Below are 15,276 nucleotides of genomic sequence, written 5' to 3'. Positions count from 1 at the left end.
ATAATATCCTATGGTACTTTTAAGAAAGCAAAATCACCTACCTATGTGATATTGGTAGTGAAAAGTTTCTGAGTGTCAGGTAGTTTTTTTTTTTTTTTTTTTTGAGACGGAGTCTCGCTCTGTCCCCCAGGCTGGAGTGCAGTGGCGCGATCTCGGCTCACTGCAAGCTCCCCCTCCTGGGTTCATGCCATTCTCCTGTCTCAGCCTCCCGAGTAGCTGGGACTACAGGTGCCGGCCACCACGCCCGGCTAATTTTTTGTATTTTTAGTAGAGACGGGGTTTCACCGTGTTAGCCAGGAGGGTCTCGATCTCCTAACCTCGTGATCTGCCTGCCTCGGCCTCCCAAAGCGCTGGGATTTCAGGCGTGAGCCACCATGCCTGGCCATCAGGTACATTTTTAAATATAAGACTGTGTAAGAAAAAGGTGAATTTAACTCAAGACTTCCCTCTCCTACTCAGGAAAGGACTGGAAACTGATCTTCCTGGATGTGAGAGGCAAGAAGCCCTATCTTTTTAACTCTTTGCTGACCGGAGTGCCTACCTCAGTCCACAGGCGACAAAGAAATGCTTTTGTAAAAGTTTACTACTTTCCTCTACTTATTTTCCATTTGACTTGATATCTAAAAATATAGAGCCATGCAGTAGCCTCCCTATCTCCAGGACAGCAGATCATTAATCTACAGCTCTGGTCAACTATCTTAAGTCCACCAATTAGCTTCTATCTTTAAGCATACCATTTCAAACGGCCTCTCCCTGAGTCTCTAGGGAGGATGTCTAAATGCAGTGGCCTATTTTCATGCAACCTAATGCTCTTAAACCTGATACTATCTCTTGGACCTTGGGGTTAGGCTTAATGTGGAAGGCAGTGGAAAAGGCCTAAATACTTCTCATGTAATCCAATGGAAAGAGGGCCTCTCTCTTGGTGTATGGTGTTTCTCTGCTCCTGTGATAGAAAATGAAAGCATTACAGGCTTAATACGTTAAATGGGGAGAATATTGCATAGCAAATAGTAAGTAAAATCTATTACGTGCTTTGCCAGTGCTGTTGGGTCTTTAAATAACGGAGCAGGATGCCCTCTGCAGAAGATACTGTCTGTGCGAAGTCACATCTCCAGAAGAGCAGGGAAGACGGCCTCGCTCCCTGGCACTGCCACCTGAGTTCCGGTCCCCTGGGCCCTGGCTTCCTCAGCTTATCTGCTGGTCTGAGCCTTCTTTCCTCCTCTCCTTGCTGGCCTCTTTTCTTCTCCGTTAGAAGCTCTGCTGTTTACCAGTATAACTCAGGAGAATTCAGGACGGTCAGTAATTTAATGACCAGAAATTAGGAAAACAAGCTAGATTTCTCTCTCTCTGAAGCCCTTCTTCTAGGGTTATCATTGATTCTTTGTGTAATTTTCTCTCTTTGATCTGGTATATTTCTATAAAATAAGGCAATGTTTTCTGCAGTTTTTTTCCCTAAAGATACATATTTCATCTCCGTGCGTAAAGAACGAAAGTAAGTAGGGATGTGCCTGAGGGTGGAATGGAGATCAGAAACTGGGCAAACATACAAATCATGGCAAACGTCACCACCCAGCTTTCTTTTTTGATGCTAGTGTTTAAGAGAGGCAGAATTATGCTGAGAGAAGCATGTGGACACTGAAGTCAGACTTGCAGGGATGTGAATTGAACTGAGTGACCTTGGGCATACGCGGTGACTTTACTAAAACTTTCTCCTCATCTGTACGGAGGAATGATACCTCCCTTGCAAAATATAAGGCATGTAAAGCTCATAGTCAATACACAATGAAGTAAAAATATAATTAACAGGAAACTAACTGGGTTGACATTTCAGAACACAACTTCTGCAGTCACTTTCCACTTTCAAATTCTATGAATATGCTAGTTTGAAAAAGAGTTTCTCCTTTTATTGAGGGAATCACTATATCATTCTGTGGACAGGAGCGAATGCCCCTTGTGGGACATGCAAATTATTATTTAAGGGAGGCATTGCAACCTGGAGGAAACAGCACAGATTTGGAGTCAAAAGACCTGGTTATGGCAAACAAAACAAAACAAAACAAACACCTCACCATATTAGCAATGTGACCTAGAAAAGAAAAGGCTTAGCTTTGTTTTGCTTTGATTTTAATAATAAAATTGCTAAGGCAGGAAGATCACTTAAATCCAGTTCAAGGCCCCATCTTTACAAAAAAATAAGAAAATTAGCTGTGTGTGGGGCGGCACATGCCTAAAGTCCCAGCTACTTGGAGGCTGAGGTGGGAGGATCACTTGAACCCAGGAGTTAGAGGTTGCAGTGAGCTGTGATTGCACAACTCTACTCCAGCCTGAGTGACAGAGTGACACTTTACTCTCAAGAAAACTAAATGAATAAAATTAAAATGAATAACATTATGTGTTCCTGCCTGGGTGCAGTGGCTCACACCTGTAATCCCAGCACTTTAGGAGGCTGCGGTGGGCAGATCACTTGAGGCCAGAAGTTCAAGACCAGCCTGGGCAACATGGCCAAACCCCATCTCTACTAAAAAAATACAAAAATTAGCCAATTGTGGGGGTGGGCGCCTGTAATCCCAGCTACTTTGGAGGCTGAGGCATAAGAATCATTTGAACCCAGGAGGCACAGGTTACAATGAGCAGAGATCATGCCACTGCATTCCAGCCTGGGCGATAGAACCAGACTCTGTCTCAAAAAAAAAAAAAAAAAAAAAAAAAAAAAGTGTTCCAAACCCTCTAGGTAAAAAGCCAGAATTTTGATGTACAGGTTTTAAGGAACCACTAATACTGAACCAAACAAGCACAGCTGTTTATTATTCTTTGACATCCCACCCGACAACAAATTAGAATCAGAAGCTCCCATCTGAAAGTGTAAAGAGGGACGAAAATGTCATGGGAGAACATCAGAGATTTAAGGAGAGGAGAAAAAAGAAGTAGAAAAATGCTCATCATTGATAAAGAAAAGTGACGGTGTGTGAGGCATTTGTAATAAAAAATTGGGGTAAGTTGACAAGGATTCGTCAGAGGGCAGAAAGGTGTGTGGTTGAGCAGGACAAGGGGGAGGCCTGTGGAGCTGGGCCCAGTGGCACAACTGGTGAAATTGACTAATGAGAGACTTTTTCCTTATTCACTAGAAAAAAAATTAGCAAATTGGCTGAAAGTTTGGAAGTTTAAAATTTTGCTTCACAATAGAAAAACTAAACCCAACAACACTTTGTGGTTGCGAACAGTCCCAGTGATCACAGAACAATGAACAAGGGAGAGACACATGTGGTGGACTCAGGAAACAGCCACGCAGGAGAAGGAGCATGGTTTCCTTCCAGGAGCCTGTGGCACTAAGGGCTGCAGTTTTAGATTAACCACATATCATACAGTCATGTCTTTCTGCTGTTAGTTAACAGTTATTGATTGCTTACTGTGTGATCTGCACTGGACAAAGCAAAAGCCCATTTAATCCTCATGAGAACTCAAGATATGAGTTCAAGTTTTATTCCCATTTTAGAAGGGAATATGTTCGAGTGACAGAGTGGCCAATAATTCCCCCGAAATCACACAACTAGAAAGTGTTTGGGATTTGAGTTCATTGCCAAACCAGAGATGATAATGCCAGTCCTTTCTAACTCACAGGGTTTTCGGTGAGGGTCAAATAGAAGGAGATAAGTGAAAATGTAATGGAAAACATAAGCTACCTTACCAATATGTATCATTGAGCTGACTAAATGCTAATTATGTGCTAACAGAAAACAATTTTTTTTTTTTTGAGACGGAGTCTCGCTCTGTCGCCAAGGCTGGAGTGCAGTGGCGCGATCTCGGCTCACTGCAAGCTCTGCCTCCTGGGTTCACACCATTCTCCTACCTCAGTCTCCAAGTAGCTGGGACTACAGGCACCCGCCACCATGCCCAGCTAATTTTTTGTATTTTCAGTAGAGATGGGGTTTCACCCTGTTAGCCAGGATGGTCATGATCTCCTGACCTCGTGATCCACCCGCTTCGGCCTCCCAAAGTGCTGGGATTACAGGCGTGAGCCACCGCGCCCAGCCAACCAAAAACAATTTTAAACCTTTTGGAGATTGGACAATATTATCATATTTAAATATTAATTAAAATAGTTGCTGGGTGCGGTGGCTCATGCCTGTAATCCCAGCACTTTGGGAGGCTGAGGCGAGCGGATCACCTGAGGTCAGGAGTTCAAGACTAGCCTGGCCAACATGGTGAAACTCCATCTCTACTGAAAATACAAAAATTAGTTGGGCGTGGTGATGGGCGCCTGTAATCCCAGCTACTCAGGAGGCTGAGGCAGGAGAATTGCTTGATCCTGGAAGGCAGAGGTTGCAGTGAGCCAAGATCGTGCCACTGCACTCCAGCCTGGACAACAGAGCAAGACTCCCTCTCAAAAAATATGTGTATATATTAAGTATATATACATATTTAGTATATTTTATGGGCCTAATCAAACAAGTAACTAACATTGCTAAAGTGTGACAGTTGGCTGGGCATGGTGGCTCACGCCTGTAATCCCAGCACTTTGGGAGGCCGAGGCAGGCAGATCACGAGGTCAGGAGATCGAGACCACGGTGAAACCCCGTCTCTACTAAAAATACAAAAATAAGCCGGGCATGGTGGTGGGTGCCTGTAGTCCCAGCTACTCGGGAGGCTGAGGCAGGAGAATGGCGTGAACCCGGGAGGCGGAGCTTGCAGTGAGCCGAGATCGAGCCACTGCACTCCAGCCTGGGCGACAGAACGAGACTCCGTCTCAAAAAACAAAAACAAAAAAAAGTGTGAACATTTACCAATGTAGCTGGATCGCAAAAACATACTGTTGAGAAAAAAAAAAAAAAAGCAAGTCGTGGGATGCCATGTACCATTTTTTTGCCATTTGTTCAAGTGTCTGAAATATAAAGTGGTACTATATATTATATATGGATAAATACACATTTAGTAAAATTATAAAACCATGGAGCATGTTGAAATTTATATAACACCAGCTGCTCTACCAGATAAGCCCTGAAATTTTAATAGCTTTAACACAAAAATGCTTATTTATTCTCATTTGTATCACAGCCTAATGGATGTTTCTGGCTCCACGCGGAAACCCATGAACTCTGGCTAATTCCATCGTGGGGTCTTTTGCTCCCCAGGGGCAACTGGGGAGAAGGACAAGGGACAAGCATGTCTTCTTCGTCACTACTTGTCCAGAGAAGGACGTTATCACCCCCATCCAGGTTCCCGTGGCCAGCATGCAGTGACGCAGCCCCACCTGACTGCATGGAAGACTGGGAACTGTTTTTTAACCTCCCGCTCAAGAAGAAAGGTCACTGATTTTGGTGAACTCACAGGGTTTTGAGGGGATGCACAAAGAGGATGCATATGAACTTCTGGATAGTTGCCATGTGTAGTCTGGGGGAAAAATGGAAAGCTAAAGGAAATACGCAAAATGTAAAATTTTTTGAAGCTGGATGAATGGTACATGGATATTATGGCACACTCTGTACTTTTTTTGGGTGTTTAAATGTTTTAGTTTTTAAAAAGACCAAAAAGGGGGAAATGTGAACCTTTTCTTAACGCTACATATTAACCTGCCTATGGTCTCAAGCTAAAACTGGGCTGGCAAACTAAGGCTCACAAGCCAAAAACAGTTTTTATGTTTTTAAAGGATTAAATAAATAAATAAATAAATAAATAAATAGAAAGAAGAAGAATATATGACAGAGACTGTATATGGCTGAAAAGCCTAAAATATTTACTATCTGGCCCCTCTGAAGGAAAAGTTTGTCAGCCCATGTCAGAACAAAAGAAAATATGATGTATTGTCTTAAAAACATAAGTTAAAACTCACTACATGCCAGACACTGAGCTCATACATGAATTCTTTAAAAAATTTAATCCTTATGACAGCATTATCAAGTTGGCCAACAAGGAAATTGAAGCACAGAGAGCTTAGGTAACCTACACAAGGTCACACAGCTATTGTAACCCTAGCAGTATGATTCCAGAGCTTACCTTCTTCACTACTATATTATTCTTTCTTCCTAATTCGCTTTTCCATTTTTCAAATTTAAAAGTATTTTCTGAACCATAATAACAAACTGATGAAATTATAGTTTACGTTCAAATTTTATTTCACATTTATATATGCGTACGTGTATATCTACAGTTTCAGCAAATGAGCCTCATGGAAGGCACTAATATTATCTATGGATTTCACTTCAGTGTAGTAAAGGGAGCATTATGAAATACTTGCTGTCATGAAAGATAAGGCAAGACTGAAATGTTTCAGGTTAGTGGAGACTAAGGAGAAATAACTTCTGAAAGCAGTGTGAGGTTCTGGGACAGAGAACATACTGGGAGAAAAACTGGTGTAACAATTGAAGAAAGTCTATAGTTGAGTTAATAATATTGTACCACTATAAATTTGCTAACCTTGATAATTATACTGAGATTATGAAATATGCTAACATTAGGAAAAATGGTATGAAGAATATAAGGGAATTCTTTGTACTGTTTTTGCAATTTTTCTTCAAATCTAAAATGATTCAAAATTAAAGTTATAAAAGAAATACAAGTGGTTCTGAGAGACTAATAATAAACACATGCAGTGAACATTTATTGAGTCTCCACACACACAAGAAGGGGTGTCAGGTCTGATGGCACCCTCACCATCTAAGCGTTGCCTGCAGCGGCTCCAGGGTGAGCAGATCCACCCTCCAGTGCTCCACTGAGAGAGTTCCCATCAGCTGAGGCAATTCTCTGGAGAAGGGTCCTCGGCAGCCCATTCGGGAAACACCTGGAGGATGGAGTACCAACTGATGAAGGGGTTTCCTGTGGCATCACAGTGTGATAATGACATTTGCTGCTAAGACTGCTAAGATAGGGACTGGAAAGTGGTCAATGGAGCCATCACATCTGCAGTCATGCCGAGGCGAGTACCGTCAGAGAAGTGTCTGCCAAGGTGGAAGGATGGAAGGCTCATGGAGTTAGGTTGAATAATACAGGTGCAGACAGCAAGTTTAGACCACTCTTCCAGCAAACTTGGATGGAAAGGGGAAGCTAAAAAAATAAGGTGTCTGCTAGAGGGACATGTAAAGAAAAATCTATTCTGTTATGAAGACCTGCTACACCACAGCCTCTTCCTAGTGGGCCTTTACCAGCACGTGGCCATGTTTATCCCAGCTCTGGCCACAGCTAATTTGATCTTGAATGGGCTGGAGTCTAGTCTACAGAGCCCTAAGCCTGGCAGGAGGGTCTTGCTGATGGCACGGGGGTGACCAGCCAAACAAACTTGATCTTTCCTTTGGGGGATCTTGAGTGTGAGGCTGACTTTGCAGAAGGAGAGATGGGCAGCTGAGCCTGAGCTGGCACCAGACTTGCTCTCGGGTCATCAGAGCTGGGTTGGATCATCAGAGCTCCAGCTAGTCACCAAGGAGCTGCCACCTTCCAGTTCTCCTTGGCCTGCCTGAGAGCTGCTGAGAGCATTTCCTGTCTGTCTGTGAAGTCTCATATTATGTATTAGATTATTAACTAAATATATAAAAGGTATCCTCCTTTTCCAACCCTCTCAAAGAGCTTAACTCAAGGCAGATGGTATGAGGGGACAAAGAGGACTTTGCATTGCATTGTGCCAAAACTAATATTCCATGAGCTGTAAGGCACACTACTGTTATGTACCTAGAGAAAAAACCCTTGCAATAGAATGGTAAGGGGCCTTCGCTGTAAAAAAAAAACATGCTCGTCTCAGAGATGCTAAATATGAAAAATATATGTCTTAGAATTGATGAAATACAGCACATTCAGAAAATGAGTGTTGGAGATGCTTACAGATTGAGTTAAAGAAATGGTTAGGCAGACAGAGAAGAAGATACATCAGGGAGAGAGGGTGGGATGCTTCCAACAGAATCAGGAAGGAACCGGTTCAAGGTCATAGAGGAAAGTTTCCATCTTCCTGTCGTGTATGGTAGGCCTTACAGATGTGGATGGAGAGAAATATGTAATTGAAAAATGAGATATTTCAATAGGTTAGGGTTGGGGGCCTTACTTTTCTGAGTCATTAGGAGGCAATTTTGTATTTCCTTTTGGAATTATTTCAGGACCATATTTTATGGGTTATTTTATAAGCTCAGACTTGTATTTCTGAGTTTTAACTGCATTTTACCAATGATTCTATGAGATGGCTAAGAGTGTAAAGATGTAGAATTTAGTGTTTAATAAAAGGCAAACTAGCTCTAACACAAGAGTGTTGCTTCTGTGCACATGCTGTATTTCAGCAGAATTGCAACCATAAATTTCACATAATATTACCAAATGATGTGATCTCAGATTATGATGTTTAATGAAAAGACTGTAAGCTCAAAAGCACAATGCTAGAAAATCTGGCGTCAGTGCACGGTCTTTATTACACCTAGGAAGGGCCTGAAAGTTCAGGTGAACCTATTTCTTGATTCACAGATGAGAAAATGAGGCTAGCAGGTGACAGAATTTGCCCAGTGTCACACAGAGGGTATGAGGAACCAGGACTTCAGAGTTTCTCACTCCAGATAAGAGGATTCCTCTACGTGCTCCACCACTCACTTGGCAGATTTTATAAGTTCTTCCTTCAAATTAAGTTTTTTTGAGACACAGTCTCACTTTGTTGCCCAGGCTGTAATGCAGTGGTGCAATCATAGCTCACTGCAGCCTTGAACCTCTGTGCTCCAGCCATCCTCCCACCTCAGCATCCCGAGTGGCTGGGACTACAGGCGTGCACCCCTATGTCTGACTAATTATTTTTTGTAGAGACAAGGTCTCACTACGTTGCCCAGGCTGGTCTTGAACTCTTGGGCTCACATGATCCTCTCACCTGGAACTCCCAAAGTGCTGGGATTACAGGTGTAAGCCACCATGCCTGGCCCAAATTAAATGTTTGAATTCATTTTTGAACAGTTACATGTGTTCCAGATTTGCTTTCCACAAAGATACTCATTTTGCTAACATTCAGCTCAAGATGGAGAGATTCTTGAGTTTGGGACTTTGACATTCAATGCGTTGGTGCTATGTTGGCACATTATTTTGATTTGTTCTTGGGGGTCATAAGCTCTTCAAGGGCAGTGGTTGCAGGGGCACTCTGCCAAACTCAAGACTGCACCTTACTTTGACCTCACCTAGTGCTACTTTAAAAATGGCTGAGCAGACAAAGACGTTCCATCATCTCAGGGAAGACCAACCTCCCCAGCTCAGTGTTTGAGGACTCTATAATCAGACAGCAATAGAGCTGCCAGTCTATCCCCACTGGGTCATACCCCACATTCAAGTCACCCTGATTAGGTTGCTTTTCTCCCTCAAACTCCCATTGCATCAGTCTCTGTGCCTTTGTTCATGCTAACCCCACAGCCTGAAAGCATTTTCTGCCTGCCAACCTCTTCAAATGCATTTCCAGCCATGGTACTGCTCAGTCCTTAGCAAATGCCTGCTGTTTGCAGGTGTCAGGGCAGGCAGGCACGGGCCTCCAGTGGCACACAAAAAGGACCTTGTCTCTGCCATCAGAGGTTTTTCAGTCCAGTGGGAGGGAGCTACACCAACACACAGCACACAGCAATATGCACATCATCATCAACAGTGGTAACTGCTATGAAGCCAAGCACCAGAGTGCTGAGATCAAATAGGAGGAGAACTTAATTTAGCCTGCCTGGTGGTCTGGAAAGTCTCCTCTGAAAAAGTAACATTTGAGATGACATTTGAAAAACCTTTAACCTCCAGCAACATCCATGTATTCATAATTCCTGGAAAAGGGCACGGTGTTTCCTGCCTGGGTCCTTTTGTTCACTGCGTTCCCTTGGTCTAGAACCTCCTCGACTCACCCACACTGCCGCATTCTAGTGTTTCCTTCTGTATCTGACCTATTCCTGCCTATACTCCAGACAAGTGTCACCTCCTCAGAAAACCTTCCACTAGTTTCCCCCTCTCGTCCTCTCATCATGTGGGCTTGGCATTTCCTTTTATGAGCCCAGAGCACCTTACCATAGCACCTGCTATGTCGTGCTGACATCACCTGGCCTGTTCAGCCACGGTCTCCTCAGCTAAATTCTTCAAGGGCGGAAGTAAATCATCCTTGTAGACCCAGACTCTAAAACAGCATGTGGTACGTGGTAGGCATCGTGTAAATGTTCTTGAAGATCCATCATTTATTTATCCAGTGGGCCCCAAACATCGGAAGGTTATGGTTCTCATTTGTTGAAAAATACGACTCTAGGAGAAATCCGTGACTCCATAGAATCTTTTGGTTTTACTGCTTCCAAGATGCAAAACACTAATGAATAGTTGGTTTTTAATCTTCTGGCTTGAATTTTGATCACCATTAGGCAAATAACCAAGTGAGTCAGTCAAGCTTAATCTACACGCTTTACAGGAAAACATGAGAGGTGGAAAGGGCCATGTCATTCACTTAGATGCTGTTTCTTTTTACATTTTAACGTATTTAAGAACTATATTTAATAATCAGATAATACTACTTATAAAATACAGTAACAGCCAGAAACAACTGTCAGAGAGAATCTAAGCGGGGGCATTTCAAACTGGGTTCCTTTGAGTCCTGGTCATGTGGAGACGTCTCAGGGAGGGCTGTTGGGTCTCTGGGACTTCAGTGTCACTGCTGTGTTTCCATCTGTTTCCCCATCCTTCTGTGTGCCCCAAACACCTCAGGCCCCATAACAAACTATCTTGGAAATGGCCTCTTCTTATCTTAAAGCTCTCATGATTTTGGGCGGAAGTCAGCTCAACAAGAGATTTGTTGTAAACAATGTTTGCTTGTCTAGGTTAAAGATTTCTGAACTCAGGAAACACTTTTGAACTTGAGAAATAAGACTGTGACCCAAGGAGTGGGATGGGGCAGCAAGATGGTCCCAGGCAGCAGGGTCAGAGGACCTCAGTGTTCAACTCCAGCCCCTTCCAGCTGCAGCCCTGGAGCAAGTGACTCCACTCTCCAGTGCCTCACACTCAGCATCTGTGACATGGGAAACGTGCCGTGACCTTCCTCAGACAGCCACTGGAGGATTAAGGGAGACGCCAAATGTAGGAGTTGTTTACCATGGTGATAACGATTACGTATGGAAGTAATACTACGAAGGCTATGAAAATAAGTTTAAAATCTGTGAGCACACAAAATATTTTTATTTTACTGCCTCCAAGATGCAAAGTCTAAACAGTATTTGGTTTTTATCATCTGGCTTGTGTTTTGATAGCCATTAGGCAGACAACCAGGTGAGTCAATCAAGCCTAGGTTTTTATATTTTATGGAAAGGCATGAGAGATAGAAAGGGCCATACTATTCATTCATTTAGATGTTGTTCCTTTTAAGATACTTAAGAACTATATCGAACAGTTAGAGAGTAATATTTAAATTTTCACCGGTGTGCAGACAGCCAGAAGGAACTTTCAGAGAGGATTTCAAACTGAGTTCCTTGGAGTCCTGCTTCTGTGGAGACATCTCAGGGAGGGGTTGTAAGGTTTCTGGGACTTCGGGGTCACTTCTGTGGTCCCACCTAAGTTCCCCCATGCTTCTGTGTGCCCAAGGCACCTCGGCTCCACGAAACTCTACCTTGGAAGTGGCCCCTTCCTTGTCTTAGTGCCCTCATGCTTTGTGTAAGCTTATACGTTTCCCAATCTCCCTCGGCTCCGTGTCTGGCTTCCTGAAGATCTGGCTTCTTGAGTATGCACTGCAAAATGTTGATTCCTTGCTTTCCTTACTACCCTCATCTGTGTCCTCCAACGCTGCCTGTCCCTCTCCAGCAGGGACCGTCTATGTTCTTGTTTTATGCAAAGTCTCATTTTTCTGCTAGGTCAACATTCTGGATGCTTGGAGGGCCTCTGGCACTGTGTTTTGTGAACCTGTGAATACTCTGTGAGTGAACTGCATTCTAAGCTGAAAATGGTCAGGGCATGGTGTGGCCATGTCCCCAGCCGGCTCCACGTTGGGGTGGGCCACAGAGACACACACTCAACCATTATTCAATTCATTGGTAGGAATTTAGCTACATTTGTTTCTCTAAAATTAAATGCAGTTAGCTTGAGAGTTTTAGTAAATGTTAAGTATGTATAATTAATAGCAAATATTTTGCTCAGAGGTTCCCAACAGATCATTTGTGATTGATCAGCTGATTCTGAAAGTTAGTCAAGTAAAAGACTTAGTAGCCACATTTGCCTAGATAAGACCCTCAAACTCACAATCACAGAGACACACACACATACACAGACATGTACACACACACACATACACGTGCAACATTGGCATTTTACATATTAGACCCTAAAGAGGATAATTTCCTCCCAAGTTTGTCACTTCAAATGTTTCTTAAAATCATAGCTCATTTCCGGTGCGTCAGCTGACGCCTGTAATCCCAGCACTTTGGGAAGCCGAGGCGGGCGCATCACGAGGTCAGGAGATCGGGACCATCCTGGCTAACATGGTGAAACCCCGTCTGTACTAAAAATACAAAAAAAATTTAGCCGGGCGTGGTGGCGGGCGCCTGTAGTCCCAGCTACTGGGAGGCTGAGGCAGGAGAATGGCGTGAACCCGGGAGGCGGAGCTTGCAGTGAGCCCAGATCGCGCCACTGCACTCTAGCCTGGGCGACAGAGCGAGACTCCGTCTCAAACAAACAAACAAACAAACAAAGTCGCTTCTACTTACCACTTGCCCATTGCCATCAAAATATGTTAGATCGCAACGTACAGATGATGTGCAGCCATGGCGCACACTGTTCCTGTCTAGGGTGAAAGCAGGCTATGTGGTGACCCGGAAAAACCAATGCACCAATTAGGCTCCAATGTTTAGATGGCTAAAATGAAAGGACTAAAATAAAATGTAGAAGTTGTTTATCATGGTGATAATGATTACTTATGGAAGTAATCTTACGAAGGTTGTGAAAATAAGTTTAAAAGTTGTGAGCACACAGAACATGATCCATTTTGAGACACCTGTTTTTGCTATCCCATGGCCGTAATCATAAACTAACAGCTCTTGAGATTATTTTACTAACACATTAGACTCAGAAAGAAAAATAACTAAATTGATCTTTTAACTTTAACTTTCCATGCTGAGGGAAGTTCAGAAAATCTAAACGAAAATCCTTTTTTAAGAAGTAGCCTCCCGCAGCAAAAAGTAGTGTTTTAAATCCATCAAATAGGTGATAGCTACCTGTCTCCCAAACTTATGGGATCTTCACGAGGATTCAATAAGATAATTAATAGGTAAGTACTTATGTATTGTGAAATTGTATACAAATGTAAGGGACTACTTTCATTATTACAGTTATTATTGCCTCAATTATTATTATTGTGCTTAGGAGTTTGGTGTAAGTCTATTATCAGCTAGTGACTTTTCTGGAAGAAGTAGCAGACCACCATTAGGACTGAATATAAAAACACCAATAATTTTCTTAGTGCCTTTCCTAGCTTTTCAAAGAGTCTCATGGCAGGTAGCACCATGCCTCTTTGAGTTCCATTTTATCATTCTGATGCTTTACTTAAATATTATCAGGCAGGAAAGTGCTTGGCAAATATTGTTCAGAAATTCATTCAATATACATTACTGGTGGCTGCCTGCATGCTAGGCCCCAGCCATATATGGATGAAACAGACAAAAATCTCTGCCATGTCCTAGCCACAGCAATCAGGCAGGAGAAATAAGAGCATCCAAATAGGAAGAGAGGAAGTCAGCTATCTCTGTTTGCAGACAACATGATTCTATATCTAGAAAACCCCATAGTCTCAGCCAAAAAGCTCCTCCAGTTGATAAACAACTTCAACAAAGTTGCAGGATACAAAATCAATGTATAAAAATCACCAGTATTCCTTTTATTTATTTATTTTTTGACAGAATCTCGCTCTGTCGCCCAGGCTGGAGTGCTGTGGCATGATCTCAGCTCACTGCAACCCCGGCCTCCTGGATTCAAGCGGTTCTCCTGCTTCAGCCTCCTGAGTCCTATACACCAGCAATAGCCAAGCCGAGAGCCAGATCAGAAAGGCAATCCCATTCACAGTAGCCACATAAAGATAAAATAGCTAGGGATATGGCTAACCAGAGAGGTGAAAGATCTCTATAAGGAGATTGCAAAATACTTCTCAGAGAAATCAGAGATGACACAAACAAATGGAAAAACATCCCATGCTTATGGATAGGAAGAATCAATATCATTAAAGTGGCTATACTGCCCAAAGCAATTTACAGATTCAATGCTATTCCTGTCAAACTACCAATGACATTCTTCACAGAACCAGAAAAAAAAGCTATTTTAAAATTCATATGGAACCAAAAAAGAGCCCAAATAGCTAAGGCAATCCTAAGCAAAAATAACTAAGCTGGAGGCATCATGTTACCTGAATTCTAACTATACTACAAGGCTACAGTAACCAAAACAACATGGTACTGGTACAAAAACAGGCACATAGACCAATGGAACAGAATAGAGAGTCCGGGAATAAGGCCACACATCTACAACTATCTGATCTTCAACAAAGCTGGCAAAAACAACCAAGGGGGAAAAGATTCCCTATTCAATAAATGGTGCTGGGATAATTGGCTGGCCATATGCAGAAGACTGAAGCTGGACCCCTTCCTTACACCATACACAAAAACCAACTCAAGATGGATTAAAGACTTAAATGTAAAACCCAAAACCATAAAAACTCAGGAAGACAACCTAGGCAATACCATCCCAGACATAAAAATGGGCAAAGATTTCACAACAAAGACACCAAAAGTAATCACAACAAAAGCAAACATTGGCAAGTGGGATTTAATTAAACTTAAGAGCTGCACAGAAAAATAAACTATCAACAGGGTAAACAGAATGGGAGAAAATATTTGCAAACTATGCATCTGACAAAGGTCTAATACCCAGCATCTATAAGGAACTTAAACAAATTTACAAGAAAAAAACAAACAATTTTTTTTTTTAAAGTGGGCAAAGGACATGAACAGACACTTCTCAAAAGAAGACATAGATGCAGTGAACAAGCATATCAAGAAAAGCTCAGTATCACTGATAACTAGAGAAATGCAAATCAACATCACAACGAGATACCATCTCACACTAGTCAAAATGGGTATTATTAAAAAGTCAAAAAATAACAGCTGCTGTCAAGGTTGCAGAAGAAAGGGAATGCTTATACACTGTTGGTGGGACTGTAAATTAGTTCAACCGTTGTGGAAAATAGTATGGTGATTCCTCAAGGAGCTAAAAGCAGAACTACCATTCCACCCAGCACCCCCATTAATGGGTATATACCCAGAGAAATGTAAATCGTTCTACCATAAA

General features: G+C 42.5%; 1 annotated feature.

The window, feature by feature from the left end:
- Positions 9,721–9,955: a silencer, noted in NCBI's record as "fragment chr18:7429686-7429920 (GRCh37/hg19 assembly coordinates)". NCBI's record gives its function as "represses an EF-1alpha promoter that drives an FKBP-Casp9 reporter gene in an ReSE screen in K562 erythroleukemia cells {active_cell/tissue: K562}" and the evidence as "EXISTENCE:reporter gene assay evidence [ECO:0000049][PMID:32094911]".

Source organism: Homo sapiens, chromosome 18, assembly GCF_000001405.40.
Source record: "Homo sapiens chromosome 18, GRCh38.p14 Primary Assembly".
Classification (NCBI taxonomy): domain Eukaryota; kingdom Metazoa; phylum Chordata; class Mammalia; order Primates; family Hominidae; genus Homo; species Homo sapiens.
The sequence above is the reverse complement of the archived record's forward strand: the minus strand, read 5'-3'. Positions and strand labels throughout refer to the sequence as shown.